General features: G+C 40.6%; 1 protein-coding gene and 1 long non-coding RNA gene across 10 annotated transcripts in view; one reads left to right on the top strand and one right to left on the bottom strand.

Annotated features, from left to right (window-relative positions):
* LOC105377785 (uncharacterized) overlaps window positions 1–20986 on the bottom strand; it is a 297276-nt gene that overhangs the window by 9093 nt on the left and 267197 nt on the right. For 3 of the 5 annotated variants that reach the window (NR_168443.1, NR_168445.1, NR_168442.1), the window contains 2 exons: window positions 6205–6571; window positions 5911–6105 (listed from right to left, as the gene is read on the bottom strand). This is a non-coding gene — a long non-coding RNA (uncharacterized LOC105377785). Of the gene's footprint in view, window positions 1–5910; window positions 6106–6204; window positions 6572–10716; window positions 10831–14009; window positions 14135–15090; window positions 15960–20986 lie in introns of all 5 variants that reach the window. The other 2 variants (NR_168444.1, NR_168441.1) reach the window with 2 other exon arrangements.
* CSMD1 (CUB and Sushi multiple domains 1) overlaps window positions 1–20986 on the top strand; it is a 2059554-nt gene that overhangs the window by 1979776 nt on the left and 58792 nt on the right. For all 5 annotated transcript variants that reach the window (XM_011534752.3, NM_033225.6, XM_011534753.4 and 2 more), the window contains 2 exons: window positions 15008–15181; window positions 16955–17128. In XM_011534752.3, coding sequence (XP_011533054.1) covers window positions 15008–15181; window positions 16955–17128 — 348 coding nt within the window. The remainder of the gene's footprint in view (window positions 1–15007; window positions 15182–16954; window positions 17129–20986) is intronic.

The raw sequence follows: 20986 nt of genomic DNA, 5'->3' as shown, positions 1-20986 counted from the left end.
TATGAAAATGGATGCTTATTCAGTTCTGTTTTTTTTTTTCATTAAGAAGCTTTTAAAAACTTTTTTAATTTTAATTTTTATGGATACATATTAGGTGTTTATATTTGTGGGGCACATGAGATTTTCGTTACACACATACGGTGTGTAATAAGCACATCATGAAGAAGCTTTATTATGGAATACACAGGTTAGGAGGTTTTTATTTATTTATTTAATTATGTTTGAGACAGGGTCTCACTGTGTTACCCAGGCTGGAGTGCAGTGGTGCAACAACAGCTCACTGCTACCTCGACCTCCTGGACTCAAGTGCTCCTCCCACCTCAGCCTCCTAAGTAGCTTGGACCACAGTGCACAGCAGCATGCCCAGCTAACTATTTACAATTTGTTTTGTAGGTACAGGGTCTTCCTAAATTGCCCAGGCTGGTCACGAACTCCTGGGCTCAAGCAATCCTCCTGCCTTAGGTTCCCAAAGTGCTGGGATTATAGGCGGGACGTTTTTAAAATCAGAAACTGGCACGCCCCAAAGATAAGGAGCTTATAAAAGAGAACTTCAGAGTTCTCAATGAAGTTGTGTCTCCTGCCCAGGAGAATTTCATCCGAATCAGCTGAGGGGACTAAAAATCACACTGCTGAGTTACTGGCAGTGTTCTTGGTGAGATATTATGGAAAGGAAGAATCCTAGAGTGAAACTCATATCCAGTGTGATTGTTCTCACAACAGGAAAAGCAGGAAAAGAAGCTAGCTATCAAAAACCATAAATTGACTTGATGATATATAGAGCAGATACCCAAGCATATTCTTCATAAGTAACTTTGGAAATGTATTTTCACATAGAACTAATATAGTTTCCAAGACACCATGTGAGTTTGCATCCATTTTTTTTTGTTTAATATTGTTATGAGATGGATATTCATAAGTACTATTCAGAAATGTTTCTGAATCAAAAATTTTATTCCTATCTTCGATCAGGGCATAGTTGAAAGAGTGAAAATAATATTGGATGATGGATTCAGGATCTCAAATTCTCACGATAGGACAAACAAAATAATATAATAGAAATTAATGTAAAATTTTTCTCAGAGTAGAAATAAAATAATTGCAATGTATATGAGGAGAAGAAATTCTGAGTTCATAGTGTAGAGGCAGAGAACTTGGGAGTTTTGGGTAAGAGCAGGCTCATATGTGACAAGTGCTGCCATGCAATGCTCAGGCTGAGTCTTATTAATAAGGTTCTTCCCATCCTCTGTTCGCCCAGGAATCCCATATCCAGAATCATGACTTCAGTTTTTTAATAGTTTAAGTGGGCTCTTGAGGAATTGCTATGCATTTGTGGTGATGGATCTGGTACCTATGATCTTTGAGGACTGTTTGGAATTTTTTTTTTTTTTTTCTGAGATGGAGTCTCAGTTGCCCAGGCTGAGTGCAGTGGTGTGATCTCAGCTCACTGCAACCTCCACCTCCTGGGTTCAAGCAATTGTCCTGCCTCACCCTCCTGAGTAGCTGGGATTACAGGCACCCACCACCACACCTGGCTAATTTTTTGCATTTTTAGTGGAGACGGGGTTTTACCATGTTGGCCAGGCTGGTCTGGAACTCCTGACCTTGGGTGATCTGCCCGCCTTGGCCTCCCAAAGTGCTGGGATTACAGGCGTGAGGCACCACACCAGGCTGGAAAATTTTTGATATTACTCTGACAGAGAGAAAAGTAAAGTAGTCATTCATAACTATTTTCAAATATTTAAAATGCTATCAGGTGAAAGATGGAAGAAACTAGTTGTGGGAAGTTGTTTTCCATATCAGTGCCAGCCCTGACGGGTAGAGTCAGCATGAAGACCATGCTGACATCTGTACATCTTAATCAGGAACATGTGGGTGGGAAAAAAGAAACAAACATAAAATTAATTGCATATATCTGCCAAGACAAGGCCCAGGGTTGATGCAGACATCATATGTGCATACTTCCATTCATGGGTTTGTAATAGCAGTGTATTTTTCTGTTCTCACGCTGCTAAGAAAGACATACCTGAGCCTGGGTAATTTATAAAGGAAAGGAGTTTAATGCACTCACAGTTCCACCTGGCTGGGGAGGCTTCACAATCATGGTGGAAGGTAAAGGAGAAGCAAAGGCACATCTTACATGGTGACAGGCAAGAGAGCGTGTGCAGGGGAACTCCCCTTTATGAGACCATTGGATCTTGTGAGACTTATTTACTACCATGAGAACAGAAACTCCCGCCCCCATGATTCAATTATCTCTTCCTGTCTCCATCCTTGACAGGTGGGGATTATTACAATTTAAGGTGAGATTTGGGTGGGGACACAGCCAATCATATGAAGCAGGCACTGTGTACAGAGAAAGAGAGCTTTTGGAATCAGTATAAAAAATCCCCACATCCCCTTTCATTTGTGTATTTTTAAACAGGTGGATCTTCCAAACAAGACAACTAAGACTTTATGCAAAAGCAGGGTCCACTTTGGTTCTTTAGATTAACTTCCCTTGGGCTGTATACCTTAGGTCCAATATGTTTTCCATCCTGGTGCAAGATTTTTTGACAAAAGCATTTTTTTTCCCTGAATTGTGGCTGAGATATTTTGTAGTTTATTTTTGGGGCTACTAGAAAGAATACTGTTTCCTGAGATTGTGCTTCAGTTTCATCGCAACATGACTCATACTGCTGGCATGCTAGTTGTTTCCAGTGACTTCCAACATGGGAGAATATGCTGGAATCCTTTTTGAGTATTGCAGCTGGAGTGGCCAAACACAGGAATGGATGAGCGTTGACAGACTGAGTCTTGAGAATGTCAACTATAGGACAGCTGTATTTAAGGAAAGAAAAGATGATTTTCTACACCTAATATTCAAGAACTCAATCCATGCTGTGTTTTAGGTCCCTGGTCTGGATTCTAAGAAGAACCTTGTGAGAAATTGGAGTGTGCATGTAAATATCATTGTAAATAGATTTTGAGCAAAGTAATGCACAGGTGCATCCGAGTACATTAGTATAAAATTTAGCCCACCTTCATCAACACGATCACTCCTGCGTTATTACTGGGATCTCCCAGAGTTCAGAGTTCTGTAAATTGCCAAGGACCTGCTCTAATTTACCAACTGTACTGTGTAATGCTACACCTCTCCCCAGGCCACAGAATTAAGCACTGAGAATGCTGACCTGGTATCCACTCTCTCAGGCACTTGCTAATCCACCCAGGAAGTTTGTGATCTACATGATCCCTTAATTATTTTCTCCTGTTTATCTTCTCTGCGGTAGTTTGCTTAAACCAACAGAGAACACACAAACTAGGAAGAGGTTATAGTTTGTGGTCTAGGTTTCCTGTCACAGAATCCCACATTCATATTTTGAAAACATTTACATCATTTAGACTTTTCAGCACATAAGAACCCATCCTCTCTCCACTATGTTACCTCTTCAATCTCTAGTATTCAAGATATTAGTGGTAGCTTGAGTTATTTCCCACATAGAGGACATTATCATTTTTTATTAGATTGTTTTGCTATTGTTAGAAATAAGTTTGCATTTATTGCGCTATTATAACCATGAGGAGATGAATTGTTCTGTAAATGCAATATAATGGTTATTTATGTGGCTAAAATAGCTAGATGACATGATTCAAAATACTGTTTTTAGACTGTAGTTATTCATAGTTCTTAGATAGTCAAGTTTAAATATATTCTTCAATTGCCTTGTATTTTGGAAAGATCCACATAAAATATTTAATAAAACAACTGATTATGATAATGCTTATATCACAGCAGAGCAGAAAGATTAGCACTGCCTCCCCTGCCCCACCCCCATCTTTGCCATACCGTCTTAAGTGTAAAATATGTTCTGTATGTTAGTCAGGAAAACTCCCTATACCAGTTCTCAGATTTTCCAAATGCATTGTCAGTGGCTGGGGAATAACTAGCAAACTTCTCAGCGGTGGGTTTTTCTGTCATATTTCTGAATAGTATTTAATGATATTTTTCTTGTTCCTCAAGAACTATGGTGCAGCATTCAGAGGTTAATAAGATTGGTTCTTCTTTTATGAAATCTATACTCTAAGGAGTAAATAAGGTAAATACCAAGTAGCTTTAATAAAAAGTTGAGAATAGGCAGGGCGCGGTGGCTCACGCCTGTAATCCCAGCACTTTGGGAGGCCGAGGTGGGCAGATCACGAGGTCAGGAGTTCCAGACCAGCCTGGCCAACATAGTGAAACCTCATCTCTACTACTGGACATAATGGTGGGCACCAGTAATCCCAGCTACTTGGGAAGCTGAGGCAGGAGAATCGCGTGAACCCGGGAGGTGGAGGTTGCAGTGAGCCGAGATCATGCCATTACACTCCAGCCTGAGTGACAGAGCAAAATTTCATCTCAAAAAAAAAAAAAAAGTTGGGAATAGAATAATGGCAAAAGGGAAATATAGGCACATTACTTGAGAAATCCAGGTGAGAGTGGGAGCAACCTAGAGGCTGACAGAAGAGTAGATGTGGGGGAAGCCGTGCTGATTCTGGGTGGAATTCCAGCAAGCAGGCATGGGGTAAAGCCATTCCAGAAATCAAGAGCTGCAACCCTGGTGGCAACAGCATAGATGCGGAGTGCGGCCCAAGGAAGTCGGACTTGCCTGAAACAAGCAGGTGCTGGGGTCGAACTCTCGACGGCCGCCTGGTCATAAGAGCCTGGACTGATAGGGCCACGAGATGGTGGAAAAGATCTGATAACTCTGACACCCGCTCTAGGGCAGGTTTTGAGCTGAGTCCTGATGCACATGCACAAGGCATGGTGCTGCACTCAGAACTCACAGTCCAATAGGGGAAGTGCATAGGTACGAAAAATTAGAATGCCACCTGCTACATCTAAAACAAAACACAGTAGAAGAGTAGGAGTCTGGGTGTTTTAAACAGGCAACACCGAAGATAGGCTCTCCTATTGTAGGAGAAACCTGAAGTCAGGGAGATCTTTGCCTCCTGTATGAATGGGCAGCTCTTCCTTTGGGGTTTGTGGAAGATGCGCACCTGCGGTGGATTTGGACTGAAGTTTGAGGGACAGAAAGACGTGACACCGGCAGGCAAGACTGCAGACAAAGCTTGAGGACAATGAGGCAGGATAGGCCCAGGGAAGAAGGTGGAAATGGGGTATATTCAGGAACTACATTGAGACAGGAATAGATAAAAAGAATGCTGAAAGCCCCAAAGACAGTCCAAATGATGGCCCTGGTTTGAGGTTTTCTTCAAACCAAACTGGTTTAAAAAAGCTGTCATTCACTAAGATGTGTGAAGCAGAGATCTGATCAAATGGATTTGTGGCAGAGGACTCGGGCCCGTGTTTGATGCTGTCACAAACAGCACAGAGTGTTGTATGCTCTGCAAGCCCAATACCTCCATGTTGGACAAATTCCACACACTCTCTGTGATACCATATGCATATCTATGCATGGGCTAAGTCGGTCAGCATTGCCCCTAGAGATTGCACTTGGAGGCAAAAAAAACACACCTCAGTTATCAATATTCAAATGTGTTTCTTTAGCATATGGAGATCAAGAGACTTCAATATGTCCGTTGAAGTGTACTGCTAATAATAGTTTTTCCTGCCTATAAGTGAATCTGATGCACCTGACATTTTATGACCATTTGTTAATACTGAAGAAAAGTTTGCAAATTGGCTTTGGAATCTACTGCCCAAATAACTCTGACTTAGCCAAAGACCATGTTATTGCATAGAATGGATAGAATAAAGCATATTGTATTCCCCTACAGGCCCAGGATATTTGTAATGTATTTTATTTTCAGCAATAAGTACCAGTAATCACAAAGCAAATACTGAGGTTGAATATTTGGTTTATAGATTTTCTAAAAATGGATTCCGTTCTAATCCCCGGACCAATATTTAGTATTTGTCCTGCTACAAACCTGCACACTGAAGACGTGAGCTTCAAGTAGGCCCCTCTAGGGGCAAAAGTGCGTGTGTGGGAGACCTGGTGAGAGGGGAGAGATCCTACAGCTCCAATGGAAGGAGCCGATTCCTCCCCAAAGAATGCACGGCTCCAGGTCTGTCCGCTGTCATGGGAGACATTGTGGCAACATTCCCACTGGTATATGGGGTTTCTGCGGGAGAAGTGAAACAGTGGAACTTTATTACATTTCCAAATCAGGGAACCCATTTCCAAAATCACACAGGTCTAGGTACTTGTCGGAGACTCTCACCTTGCTGTACTTGCATGTGAGGTGTTCACTCTGCGTGCGTTATGATGTGAAGGTAAATCGGCCAACAAGTACCTCAGGTCTCTTTGAGGGTCCACCTTGCGTCAGTCACTCAGAAAGTCACCACTGACAATCAGTGTGGTGGTTTTAGGTTGCAAACCGCATAACTCCTTTCAGTAGCAAAAGCAAGTGTTGCAGAAACAGTACGGATAGCTAAACAAAGCCAAATCCTGTCTGCCAGTAAGATTCCTCCTCTAAAACACAGCTTTGTAGAACCGCTTTCCAGAAAACATAGGTCACCCAGGGGGGCATGCTGGAGTTCTGAAGGAACCGGATTCGTTCAGGAGCCAGTTTCTGAGTGTTCACTCTACTGGAAACGAACAAACAAAACAACCTTTTGTTCTCTCAGCAAGGTGTTTTATAACTTACACTAAAAGACCTGTGCAGTGGAATTTACATGGAACTCTAGAAACAAAGGCTTTGAGAGGCTGGCCTTGCGGAGGCCCCTGCTCTCCCGTGTTGAATTCTATAAACTGCAGGTGTGCAGCCTCCCCTGGTCTAAGGGTGGGCCACACTGTGCGGGTGATAATGGAGTGAGTGGTTTTCCCTGTGTGTGTCCCTAATGAACCTCAGACTCAACTGACCTCACAAAGGGAATTCAGCCACTTTCTGCCCTCCTGACTGCTCTGGCACAAATGTAGTTTGCAGGGAAACCTTGACCAATCAAGAAATTAGGCCTTTCCTCCCTCTCGAGCCTTCTTCCTGACATTTTGCTTGCGACATACTCTATTTCTTTGCTATGAAAATGGACTCAATACTCCATCCATCTTGCTACCAGTCTCTGTGCTTTGTTCAAATGTTTGGTAGCTTTTATTTATTTCAAATCCAATTTTAGAGAAAGATTGTTAAAATAACTCCCCTTTTTCTATTTGAGACATTTTAAGCAAAATATAATAGCAGTTTATAATTACAAACAGTAACAAAGCTTTCTTTTTTTAAGTTTTTTTTCTTTTATTATTATACTTTAAGTTTTAGGGTACATGTGCACATTGTGCAGGTTGGTTACATATGTATACATGTGCCATGCTGGTGCACTGCACCCACTAACTCGTCATCTAGCATTAGGTATATCTCCCGATGCTATCCCTCCCCCCTCCCCCCACCCCACAGCGGTCCCCAGAGTGTGATGTTCCCCTTCCTGTGTCCATGTGATCTCACTGTTCAGTTCCCACCTATGAGTGAGAATATGCGGTGTTTGGTTTTTTGTTCTTGCGATAGTTTACTGAGAATGATGATTTCCAATTTCATCCATGTCCCTACGAAGGACACGAACTCATCATTTTTTATGGCTGCATAGTATTCCATGGTGTATATGTGCCACATTTTCTTAATCCAGTCTATCATCGTTGGACATTTGGGTTGCTTCCAAGTCTTTGCTATTGTGAATAATGCCGCAATAAACATACGTGTGCATGTGTCTTTATAGCAGCATGATTTATAGTCCTTTGGGTATATACCCAGTAATGGGATGGCTGGGTCAAATGGTATTTCTACTTCTAGATCCCTGAGGAATCGCCACACTGACTTCCACAATGGTTGAACTAGTTTACAGTCCCACCAACAGTGTAGTGTTCCTATTTCTCCACATCCTCTCCAGCACCTGTTGTTTCCTGACTTTTTAATGATCGCCATTCTAACTGGTGTGAGATGGTATCTCATTGTGGTTTTGATTTGCATTTCTCTGATGGCCAGTGATGATGAGCATTTTTTCATGTGTCTTTTGGCTGCATAAATGTCTTCTTTTGAGAAGTGTCTGTTCATGTCCTTTGCCCACTTTTTGATGGGGTTGTTTGTTTTTTTCTTGTAAATTTGTTTGAGTTCATTGTAGATTCTGGATATTAGCCCTTTGTCAGATGAGTAGGTTGCAAAAATTTTCTCCCATTCTGTAGGTTGCCCGTTCACTCTGATGGTAGTTTCTTTTGCTGTGCAGAAGCTCTTTAGTTTAATTAGATCCCATTTGTCAATTTTGTCTTTTGTTGCCATTGCTTTTGGTGTTTTAGACATGAAGTCTTTGCCCATGCCTATGTCCTGAATGGTAATGCCTAGGTTTTCTTCTAGGGTTTTTATGGTTTTAGGTCTAACGTTTAAGTCTTTAATCCATCTTGAATTGATTTTTGTGTAAGCTGTAAGGAAGGGATCCAGTTTCAGCTTTCTACATATGGCTAGCCAGTTTTCCCAGCACCATTTATTAAATAGGGAATCCTTTCCCCATTGCTTGTTTTTCTCAGGTTTGTCAAAGATCAGATAGTTGTAGATATGCGGCATTATTTCTGAGGGCTCTGTTCTGTTCCATTGATCTATATCTCTGCTTTGGTACCAGTACCATGCTGTTTTGGTTACTGTAGCCTTGTAGTATAGTTTGAAGTCAGGTAGTGTGATACCTCCAGCTTTGTTCTTTTGGCTTAGGATTGACTTGGTGATTCGGGCTCTTTTTTGGTTCCATATGAACTTTAAAGTAGTTTTTTCCAATTCTGTGAAGAAAGTCATTGGTAGCTTGATGGGGATGGCATTGAATCTGTAAATTACCTTGGGCAGTATGGCCATTTTCACGATATTGATTCTTCCTACCCATGAGCATGGAATGTTCTTCCGTTTGTTTGTATCCTCTTTTATTTCCTTGAGCAGTGGTTTGTAGTTCTCCTTGAAGAGGTCCTTCACATCCCTTGTAAATTGGATTCCTAGGTATTTTATTCTCTTTGAAGCAATTGTGAATGGGAGTTCACTCATGATTTGGCTCTCTGTTTGTCTGTTGTTGGTGTATAAGAATGCTTGTGATTTTTGCACATTGATTTTGTATCCTGAGACTTTGCTGAAGTTGCTTATCAGCTTAAGGAGATTTTGGGCTGAGACAATGGGGTTTTCTAGGTATACAATCATGTCGTCTGCCAACAGGGGCAATTTGACTTCCTCTTTTCCTAATTGAATACCCTTTATTTCCTTCTCCTGCCTAATTGCCCTGGCCAGAACTTCCGACACTATGTTGAATAGGAGTGGTGAGAGAGGGCATCCCTGTCTTGTGCCCGTTTTCAAAGGGAATGCTTCCAGTTTTTGCCCATTCAGTATGATATTGGCTGTGGGTTTGTCATAGATAGCTCTTATTATTTTGAGATACATCCCATCAATACCTAATTTATTGAGAGTTTTTAGCATGAAGCGTTGTTGAATTTTGTCAAAGGCCTTTTCTGCATCTATCGAGATAATCATGTGGTTTTTGTCTTTGGCTCTGTTTATATGCTGGATTACATTTATTGATTTGTGTAATTGAACCAGCCTTGCATCCCAGGGATGAAGCCCACTTGATCATGGTGGATAAGCTTTTTGATGTGTTGCTGGATTCATTTTGCCAGTATTTTATTGAGGATTTTTGCATCAATGTTCATCAAGGATATTGGTCTAAAATTCTCTTTTTTGGTTGTGTTTCTGCCCAGCTTTGGTATCAGGATGATGCTGGCCTCATAAAATGAGTTAGGGAGGATTCCGTCTTTTTCTATTAATTGGAATAGTTTCAGAAGGAATGGTACCAGTTCCTCCTTGGAGTAACAAAGCTTTCATCAGACACAGAATAGAGTAGACTGAAAAGCTAGTGATTTTCAAAGCTTATGGTACGGAAACTCTTTGTAACTCAGGAAAGACGTTCAAATTCCTGGGTCCCACCCAGGGTACTGCACAGTCCATACGTATAACACCTCAATGGTTCTGAAGTTTCACCGTATTATTGTTATTGTTTTTATTATCTTTTGAGACAGAGTCTTGCTCTGTCGTCCAGGCTGGAGTGCAGTGGTGCAATCTCGGCTCACTGCAACCTCTGCCTCCCGGGTTCAAGCAATTCCTCTGCCTCAGCCTCCCGAGCAGCTGGGACTACAGGCATGTGCCACCTTGCTCAGCTAATTTTTGTATTTTTAGTAGAGATGGGCTTTCACCATGTTGGCCAGGCTGGTCTCGAACTCCTGACCTCAGGTGATCCACCTACCTCAGCATCCCAAAGTGCTGGGAGTACAGGCATGAGCCACTGCGCCTGGCCACGGTATTCTTATTCCAATGACATATTTTGTAGAACAGTGTGTAAAACGGAGTCACTGGAGCAGACCATTTCATTCTTGGTTCCGTTACTGGTTCTCTCAACCATTTTAAGTGGTTGGTGAATTACCCTGTCCACAGTCATACCTGTTCTCAGCATGGAGAAAATGAAGAATTAAAATGTAAAATTCATGAAGTGTGGTAGTAATTGAATTGTTAATTCGTGCTTGAGCTAAAAGCAAATTCTGCAATTCCATGAGGATATATTTACATTGTCTATCTATATACATTGGATTAAAAATCATATGAATTTACAGTTGCATAGCATTCTTTCCTAATTCTTCAACCATTTGCTTCTCAGTCCTGCTGGGTTCAGATTACTAGTAGACTAATAAATTCACGCAGAAGATTGATTTAAGAGTAAAGTGGGTCACTTGCTTTCTTGCCAAGGTTTTCCTTCCACACTTTAATAGGACAATTTCTGACACACACTTCTCAAGAAATCCAGGCTTCATGATGTCCGAGCTGTGACTGTTGTTGCTACACAATTGCCTGTTGGAGACATTGGGCAGTTTTTGTTTAAACTGAAGCTAAACGTCAATGAATAATAAATAAACAAAGTCTGCAAAATCAAGACAAATCACAGCCTCTGGGCTCTGGCATCATAGTGTAAGGTCCACTGAGGAATTTCAGTATTTTATTATCACTAGATGATATTTGGTTTTGAAGTGTGCAGGGCTGCCCTCACCCCACGTTCATTTCTTTAAAAAAAAAATTCAGTGAATAGAGTTGCTTATCCTCCTTTGCTACTGTGCATACTCAGTGGAGTTGTAGCAACTATCTTCAAATAGTGGCAGAGTCACGCAGTGGGGCTGACACCTACTATGTACTAAGCTGGACAGGATGCAAATGGTCACCCTCCTAGCAAATGTATAACTGGGTCATTTGACATCATAGTCTTCATATTTTAACAGATGCTTTAAAAATATATAACATTTCTAATTTCTGTGGCTAGAATGTCTTGCCATCACCTTTTCCTGGCTAACAAGCGCTCATCCTTCAGACTTTAAATGCCACCTCTTTCACCAGGAGTCCTGGTCCTCAGCATGGCTGAGTGTTCCTTCCACTCGTTCCCAGCCTGCTAGGTCCGCACACCCTCAGGACTCTGCACGTGACAGCTGCTCCTCTGCGTTTACCCTCTGCGATTGTGTCTTATTCCTTGTTTAATCCCCAGCCCCAAGAACATTGCAACCCACAACAAATCATCATGAAATTATTGTCAAATAAATGAATTATTGTCAAATACATGAAGGTGACATAGGAGACAATGTAAAGGACATGACTGCCCAGTGGTGAGGTTATTCTGTTTCTGTTCATTTCAACAAGTACTCAGTGTGTGACTGATATGGTAGAGACACAGCAGAGAAGCATGAACTTGATTACATTTCATCCTGAGGGAAGACAGAGAGGCTTTCTAGGTTTTGTGTAGATGACTCAAAACCAAGACTACATCAGAGATATTAAAAGAAAAGGTAACTCACATACAAAGCATATAGAATAATACTATCATAGACTAATAGAATCTTAAATTTAAAATAGAGCTCAAAATTCATTGAGTTCAAATTCCTCCTAATGCAATTTTCCCTTCCTCAACATATTGACACAATATCATTAAGATTTGGGTTAAAGAGTATTCTGTGAGTGAAATTGTGTGGTTATCCTCTATTTGTAATAGACTATAATTGGTCAAAGATTTTGAATGTTTTAAAACAGAATTAACGGATGGCTGGAAAGTGATAACAGGTGAAAAACAGATTGCTATCTCATTGTTTCAAAATAGGAAGCCACAATGAAGAAATAATTGTTCTGTATTAGGAAGCTTAGATACTAGGCAATCCTGCTGATACATAACTTTTTTTTCTTCAGGCAAGGAGGTAAAATGAAATGTTTTTGAAGGACATCCTCTGTTTTCTTTAGGCATTTGGTGCCAATTCCTCAGAGAACCGAAATGACCATGTGTCAGAGAGGAGTTGCTGTTGGGAATCTTTATTTACAGTCATGGCTGTCAGGCTTGCTGCCTGATTTCTAGAGTACACAGATGCTTCCTTGACCATTACAAGTCCTTGTTTGCCAGGTTCCCAAAGAAGAGTGCAACTTCAAACTATGTGCACTTACAAAAAACTCAGTTCAGAAAAATATTAAGGTTTAAAAGGAGTCCTGTTTGTCTAAGTCAAGAATGAGACCTGAACAGATTCCCTAAAATGAGAGGAGCTCTGTTAAAATGCACCCCTTTTCACATCACTATTGCCTTTGGTCCCACATCCCCTCCTCTTGGAGTGGTTCCAGGCTTCAGAAGTAATTCCAAAAGGAATTGCTGGTGTCATTTTCTTGTGTGTTTCTAGAAACTAGCTATTCTATGCCTCGCCTCAGAAATGGCTGGGATCTCTTGTGCTGGGCTGATGGGCTCTTCTGGCTCTCACCAGTCCTCGTCTCCCTGTCTCTAGGGTTGGAACGATGGCTCCATCTCCCCCATGCACGACAGAGCACGTTGTGCAAAGGACAGCGTCTGGAAAGGGGAACCTTCAGAGACAATGTCCTCTGTGCCTGTGATAACACTTGTGCCTTCAGGGGGTCTCTCTTCACAATATGGAGAACATTCACCCTCATCGACGTTCTCCGCTTGTATCAAGTCTCATATGTGGGAGTGATTGGGACAAATCACCAGAACTGACTTATTGATCCGATTGACTGGAATACCTGCCAATGCACAAAAATTAGCCAAATCTAGCCTGGCTTTTTGTGGTCTAATCTCTTCTACGAGTTGAGGCAGAGATCAGATTCTCTTCTGTCTCTCTCCTCTGCAATGTTACCTTCCTGATAATAAGTTTGTTCTCCAAAATAGGAGAACACAATGTTTCTAAACTTTGTTTTAAGCAGAAATATAGATTATGATTTTAAATCTCCCTAGAAGGATATACTTAATCCCAAAGGAGTATGACAACAATTTTGTAATTTCTCAAATCTGGGTGTGCAGGAACTTGTATGGAGAATCATTGGTTGTGTTCCCTGTTGGGGAAATAAGTGGGCAGGGAAAGTCTCCGCCTTGATATTTTGCATGGACTGAAGGCTTCTGTAGCTGTTTTCCTACGAAAAGTTTCTTTCTATAACTTCAAAGATAAATATTGATTATTATTTTTAGAATACGGGTACTCTCACTTTATTGCAAAATTCCTCTTAAAGCAATTGTTTTTCTAATATATTCTTTATTTTCCTGTGAATTAAGCAAAAAGAAATGTTGATGCAACTATAGGAGAGTGACAAAGATGATTATTTAGGAACTCATGGTGAATGTTTTTCCTCTTCTTGTGACTCCAAAACCCATGTGTAACACAGGTCCAATTCATGTAAGTTACTCTTCAGCCTGTATATTTTGTTAATTTAATAAGAATACCCTTTCCATATATGCGAGGAAGGGAGAGAGAGAAAAGGAGAAGTTGGAGGAAAGGAAAGAAGGAAAAGTGAGAGCAGTAAAGAGGCAGAAGAGGGAGATGGAAGAGAAGGTAACAAAATGTTGTGGTGGCTCACACCTGTCATCCCAGCACTTTGGGAGGCCAAGGCAGGAGGATTGCTTAAGCTCAGGAGTTGAAGACCAGCCTGAACAACATAATGAGACCCCATCTCTACTAAAAATAATAATAATAAAAAAATTACTCAGGCATGGCAGCATGTACCATGGTGGCGTAGTCCCATCTCCTCAGGAGGCTGAGGCCAAAAGATGACTTGAGCCCAAGGGATTGAGGCTACGGTGAGCCGTGATGGTGCCACTGCATTCCAGCTTGAGTGACAGAGCAAGACCCTGCCAAAAAAAAAAAGAAAAAAAATGGTGGGAGTGAGTGGAATAATGTCAGAGGGTCTGTCTCCATGTGGAAGCTCTGTTACTAAAGCTCTTTCAATGCCATGTTTGTCAATTGTTTTACTATCTACATGGACATTCTGTCTCCCCTTAAGTAAAGACGCCTGTCGCGATCTCGCGCTCCTTCCTGTTCTTTCACTGTGCACCTGAGTAAGCCCTGCCACCTTTAGTTTCAGCTGTCAGCTGTGCATGCTCCTGTTGTCCCAAGTCCACGCTAACTTCAGCACATCTGTCCCTGGAACTCTAGACTTCTCTTTTCAACTGATTCCAGGCCATTTTTACTCAGACATCAGCTCACCCATAACTCAGATTTTCATAATTGAAATTGAACTTATTCTCTGATCCCTGTCTTTCCATTTGGAATTTCACAGGTAATTTGATTATCTAGTCTATCTGACTGGAAGCCCCCCTCACCGATCTCCTTACTACCCATAATCAATAGGTTAAGAAGCCCTGTTCATGTTAATTCCAAGAATTCCTTCTTTACTTTTTGCTTTGTTTTGAAAATAGTATAACAAGGTAAATAACTGAATACAGGTAAGCAAAATAAGTGAAATGGATAGATGGGAAAATCACAACTAGGAAAATACAAACCATTTCATATTAGAAATATTACTTATTTTTTCCAGGATTTCTGAAAAAAAATAATAAAAAAAAGAAAAACTATATTTAAAAGTATACATATATATGTAATGATAAAGATTTCAATATGTTGCGCCTTCAATACTGTTATTGACTTGATAATAAAAGTTGTGAATGTACTACTTTTATAAATGACAGACACTCTAAATTTTAAAATTGGTTTAACATTTTTAGCTGGCCACTGCGGTTCCCCAGACCCGATTGTGAACGGTCACATTAGTGGAGATGGCTTCAGTTACAGAGACACGGTGGTTTACCAGTGCAATCCTGGTTTCCGGCTTGTGGGAACTTCCGTGAGGATATGCCTGCAAGACCACAAGTGGTCTGGACAAACGCCTGTCTGTGTCCGTAAGTGCACTCTTTGTGGACGAATTCATCGATGCTTCCTTTTGCCACATTGTCTTTTGTTATTAGGTCACAATATACACCTGTTTAATCTTCACTGTAAAAGGGAACAGCAAACTTTCAGTTTTGCCTATACAAAGAAAGAGAACAGGAGAGGTGCCATGTTCACGCTTTCCTTTTTTGATCTCCTTCCCGTTTTGTTTCCTTCAAACTCCTTTTCCTGACTCCACATTTAATTTGCTTATCAATTCATTGTAAATGGATCCCTGGCCAAGTGGTGTCATGGATTCCTCCTCCTTGATTTTATCACAGGATAAACTGGGTGGAGAGAAAAGCTGATAGTAGGAGGGTGGAGGTGCAGAGTCTGGGTCTGCTGGGCAGCTTTGCAGTCCTAGAAACAGCGGCACTCCCTGCCTCATCCGTGTTGCATACATTTTTGTCATTGCTTCGTCAAGAATATAGGGAGTTTTGTAAGCATTCTTTCTTTTACTTGAAAGAGGTAAAATTGGCCAGGCGTGGTGGCTCACGCCTGTAATCCCAGCACTTTGGGAGGCTGAGGCAGGTGGATCACCTGAGGTCAGGAGTTCAAGACGAGCCTGGCCGATGGCAAAACCCCATTTCTACTAAAAATACAATAATTAGCCTGGCATGGTGGCATACATCTGTAATCCCAGCTACTAGGAGGGGCTGAAGCAGGAGAATTGCTTGAACCCTGGAGATGGAGGTTGCAGTGAGCAGAGATCGTGCCGCTGCACCCCAGCCTGGGTGACAGACCAAGACTCTATCTCAAAAAAAAAAAAAAAAAAGGGAAAAAAAAGAAAGAGGTAAAATTACATGTAATGAATGATCAACCTTGAGCTGTATAACTTCAGCGATAAATATTGTAAATATTGACTATTTTTCGAACAATGTACTCTCACTTTATTGCCCAATTTCCCTTAAACCAATTGTTTTTAGAAATATTGTATATTTTCCTATGAAGTAGACAAAAGAAATGTGGATAAAACAGTGACAAAGATTATCTGTAATAGTGATGTGAAAAATGTACAAAGTTCACGGGTAAAAGCTTTACTTATAGGAAAAAAATTGTTGACAAGATAAATGAGGAAGAAAACACCAGTTTTATGACTGTAGTGTGTTTCTGTTGAAAGGGTGAATGATGGATATCTCTCCCTGATCTGTCTTGCTGTTATCTGGGGCATGACATATTGACAGTTCACTGCATTTCAAAGGATCATATGACAGAGATTCTCAACAAAAATAGGAGCTGAGTGTGCTTAGTTATTTTGCTAATTTCATGATGTGTAAATTGATATTGCAATAATTTATACATGGACATTAAAAAGTATCAGACAAATCCCATACTGTCTCAAAAGGAGGGTTTCACAGAGTCAGCTGGTGTGTATGGAGAAAATGTTCAAAACTCATGATTAATACAAGAATTTTTAGCATCTCTTGTTTTTCACTGCTTCGTTTTTAAATCATTTGGTATTCTGTCATGATTCAAGAGAGAAATAATAATTATGATGGTAAAGAAAGCGTGTTTGGCAGGTGTTTGTTATTTTCCACAATTATATTAAAAGCCTGTAGTGTCAGCCTGTGGTTGTAGCTCCCAATATTCCCTTCTGAATATAAATACCATCTGTAAGCTGCCTGGTTAGTGGAAAACCTTCAGTCCATACCGTTAGCATGCCTGCATGTTTCTTATTAATAATCCCAAGGGAAAGTGATGACCTGTTCAATATTTAACAATGACGTTGACCTGTCTCTCTACAGCCATCACATGTGGTCACCCTGGAAACCCTGCCCACGGATTCACTAATGGCAGTGAGTTCAACCTGAATGATGTCGTGAATTTCACCTGCAACACGGGCTATTTGCTGCAGGGCGTGTCTCGAGCCCAGTGTCGGAGCAACGGCCAGTGGAGTAGCCCTCTGCCCACGTGTCGAGGTAGGAACAGCATCCAGGAATGAGCCCTTTGCTCTGAGAGTGTTCTAGGCTGCCCAGTAACACCATCAAGAGCCTGTCTCCATGAATCAAGGGTAATGCATAAAGAGTTCTGCAAACTCTCACCATTCAGGTGTGAAAGCATTTCTGAGAGTAAGCACAAAGCTCTCCATGGCTTTTTCCTGTCTCGTGGCCAGATGTTCAATTACGAAAATCTAGAATTATCTCCCTTAAAGATAACTCATCTTCTATTTCTCTTTTTATTCATGTATTTACACATTTATTTCTACCCTGTATAGTTAGCATTTGGGGGCCATTATGCTTCTAATTTTATGACTGTCTTTACGAAGTTCTTACTGTTTTAAATTTTCAATTATTTATTTTTTGATTCATTTCTTTAAACGTAGTCACAGAGACCTCTGCTAAATCTGAGTTTCCAAGAAAATTGTGTTCTTTTTTGCATTTCTAGATGTTTGAGCTCATGATGTTTAAGATTTCATTTCAATTACTTTCCATTACAACATCACTCTTATTGGTGGTGTATTGTACTTTAGTGTGAAGGGCAAGTATTTTTTATGGTATTAAGATGAAATTGAAGCCAGGAACTTATCAATGTCTCTTTCTCTGACAAGAACCTCTCTTATCCTAGGGCTCCCACGGGAGCTATCTTCAAATAAGCTGATAGCAGAGTGGGAACCCAAGTCATTTAAAAAATGATTAGAAGTTGTATAGAAGTTGGCTACTCAGCTGCAGAGTTCTGGCTCAGGTCTAAATTGGAGGTCTTGGCGTAAGCTCAAAGGCTAAGTAAAGACTCCTACCTCTGTTTCCCCCTAAAATACTAGTCACTGTCAGGATCAGAATGCTTGGGTTTTGACCAACACACTGATGAAACCCAGTTCACTCAACTAACCACAGTGCAGAATGCAAAGGAAACCAGAGTGAGGGGGTGAAGCCAGTGCCCCTGCCTCCGCCGAGCCCCAGCCCCTGACCAGAGGAGGGAACCACCCCAGCTTAAGAAGCCCAGGGACATTGGTCAGCCCCAGGTGCACAGGGGTGAGCTTGCTTCAATCACAGCTTTCATTGTATCCAAACATGGTCTCCCTCCAAAAATAAAAACAGAGAGAGGAACATGGTTACTGATTTCACCTGAACTACAACTTTTCTTCTTCTTTCATTGTATTTGTGTTTGTTTTTTCCTTTAATAATTACATGGGAAATATCTGATGTGCAGAATTAGGGTTGAAATGATCTCTTTCACTTTAGTTTCACAATCACGAGAAATAAGAGGAGATGCAAAACACTGCTGTGTTCTCATTCTAGCATAATTCAATCTTTTTGGCAGTTGAACTCTTATGACTGACAACTGTGCAGTGGTGTTTTAGGAAGTATGGAGCAGGGCCTAGCAAAATATGCTCTGGAGCTCAAGAGAGCTAGCGGTGACTCTTTGTGGAGGCCGCAGGACTCCATACGGAGCAGAGCTGAGTTTACTGCACAGGCCTGATACTTCCAGAGTCAAACATGCCTCACCCTGCCCTCAGCTCCTCACAATCGTGTGTGCGTGCATTAGCAATATGCTTCATTTCTTTACTTAATAACAGCATTATCTCAGTGAAAATCTAACATTGGAGGTCTTGTGGGTGATTATCCTGATAAGAAGCTGATCTAATGTGTAGTCTCTCATTTTAAAAAATATTTCAGCTCAAATATGTTAACATTATGTTTTAACATGGTAAATTACTAAATTACGTGTTTATATGGAATATGTAAAATATGTCATATGTTCAGTATGTTATTTTTTTGTTAGGATAAAATGTCATCAATTCTCTCTCTTTTTTCCCATTAAAGTCCTCCTTTTCTCTGTTGAATGAGTAAATACATTCATAATAAAATGTTTCATTTTGAGATAACTGTAGATTCCCAGGCAGGCACTAGGTATAATACAGAGAGGTCCTTTTTGTCCCCTACCCACTCTCACCCAGTGGTAGAATCTTGCAAACTTAGAGGGTATTAGACCAACCAGCATATGGACATTGATGTGGTCAAGATGGAGAATGTCCATTATCACTAGAATCCGCCTTACTCCGCTTATAAACACACCCACGCATCCCAACCTCATTCTTAATTCCTGGTATCCATTAACCTGGTCTCCACTTCTCTGACCTTCTCCCTTCAAGAATGTTATATAAATGAATGAAATCATGTGGTGTGCAGCCTTCTGAGATGGGCCTTTTTTATTCAACATAATTTTCCGGAGATTCATCCAAGTTGTGGCCTGTGTCAATAATTCAGTCCCTTTTTCCTGTGGAGTAGCATTTCATGGTACAGATGTAACAGTTTTTTTCACCATTTACCCATTGAAGGACGTCTGGGTTGATTCCAGACTTTGCTGTCACAAACAATGCTGCTACGAGCTGTTATGAACACGATTTTGTGTGGTTATAAGTTTTCATTTTTCTGGGAAAAATGCCCAAGAGTGTAAATGGTACTGGCACATACGGTATTTGCAAGTTTAGTCTTATAAGAAACTGCCAAGCATTTTTCCAGCATGGCGGTACTATTTGTCATCCCTACCCAACATGTGTGGGCGATGAAGTTTCTCTACATCCTGTCCAGCATTCGGTGCGGTCACTCTGTCTTATTTTAGCTTTCTTGATAGATGTGTGGTGATAGCTTTCTGTGGTGTTCACTTGCAATTTCCTGATGGCTAACGACGTGAGTACCTTATCTGGTGATTATTCCCATCTGTACTCTTCAGTGAAATGTCTGTTCATGCCTTTTGCTCACATCCTAATGGAATTGTTTGGATTTTTTTGTTTGCTTTTTAAGACTGAGTTTCAAGAGTTCTTTATTCTGTGTAATAGTCATTTGTCAGGTATATGATTCGCAGAATTTTTCCCAGTCTCTCGTTTGACTTTCATCCTCTTCACAGGGTCCTTTGAGCAGCACAAGTTTTAAATTCATCGTCTTTTCTTTTTCTGGGTCATGGTATTGATGTCAAGTCTAAGAACTCTGCCAAGACCTAGATCTTGAAGTGTTCCTCTATTTTGTCTATCACTTTGCATTTGATATATTTTAAAGTCTGTGATCCATTTTGTGTTAATTTTTGTATAAAGTCTGAGATTTAAATAGAGTTTCACTATTCTTTTTTTAACCTATGGATATTCAAGAGATATTGGTTTTAATATGGTAATTTATTAAATTACAAAGGAACATTATCAGGAAGGGCTTCTATGTTTCTAACCCAAAATAAAAAAATTAAAAATTGAATGATAAAGATGTCTATAAATAATTTTCTGAATTAGATTTTTTAATTAATTGATCCTATAAAAACTTTACTGTGTGTTTCTATGTAGCTATACTCACTTTCCATATAAAGATAAAACATTGATGGCTTTAATTTCTACATTTACCACATATGAGTTGTTTTTCATAAAAGTTTTAGTCTTTTAGTCAAAAAGCATCCGTTTTCCTCTGTAAAACATGGCAGTGGTATCACGTGAGTGGGCACGATGGCGTGTGGGGAACTGGTGCTCATTTTGGGAACTTTCCACTGCCCCGGCTGAGTTGTCCGCATGACATCAGCACCTGCGTCCTCACCACAGCAGCAACAACAGCAGGTGCACACTTCTGTGTGTGGGGAAAGAATCCACCCACTGCAAGGCAATGTTACTCTGAAAATGCTCATCCATCAATTCCCTTTAATTGTATGTCTCGTAGAATGACCCAAATTGACCATCAGCAATCAGTACACACGAGGTCAACTACTTAGGCTACTTCTTTGGTTGTTTGAATGTTGTTTTCTTACTTTCTTTCTTCCTTCTTACTTTCTTTCTTCTTCTTGCTTTTTTTTTTTTTTTTTTT

The sequence above is a fragment of the Homo sapiens genome, chromosome 8 (genome assembly GCF_000001405.40).
Source record: "Homo sapiens chromosome 8, GRCh38.p14 Primary Assembly".
Taxonomy (NCBI): Eukaryota; Metazoa; Chordata; class Mammalia; order Primates; family Hominidae; genus Homo; species Homo sapiens.
This window is presented reverse-complemented; position numbering and strand designations above follow the sequence as displayed.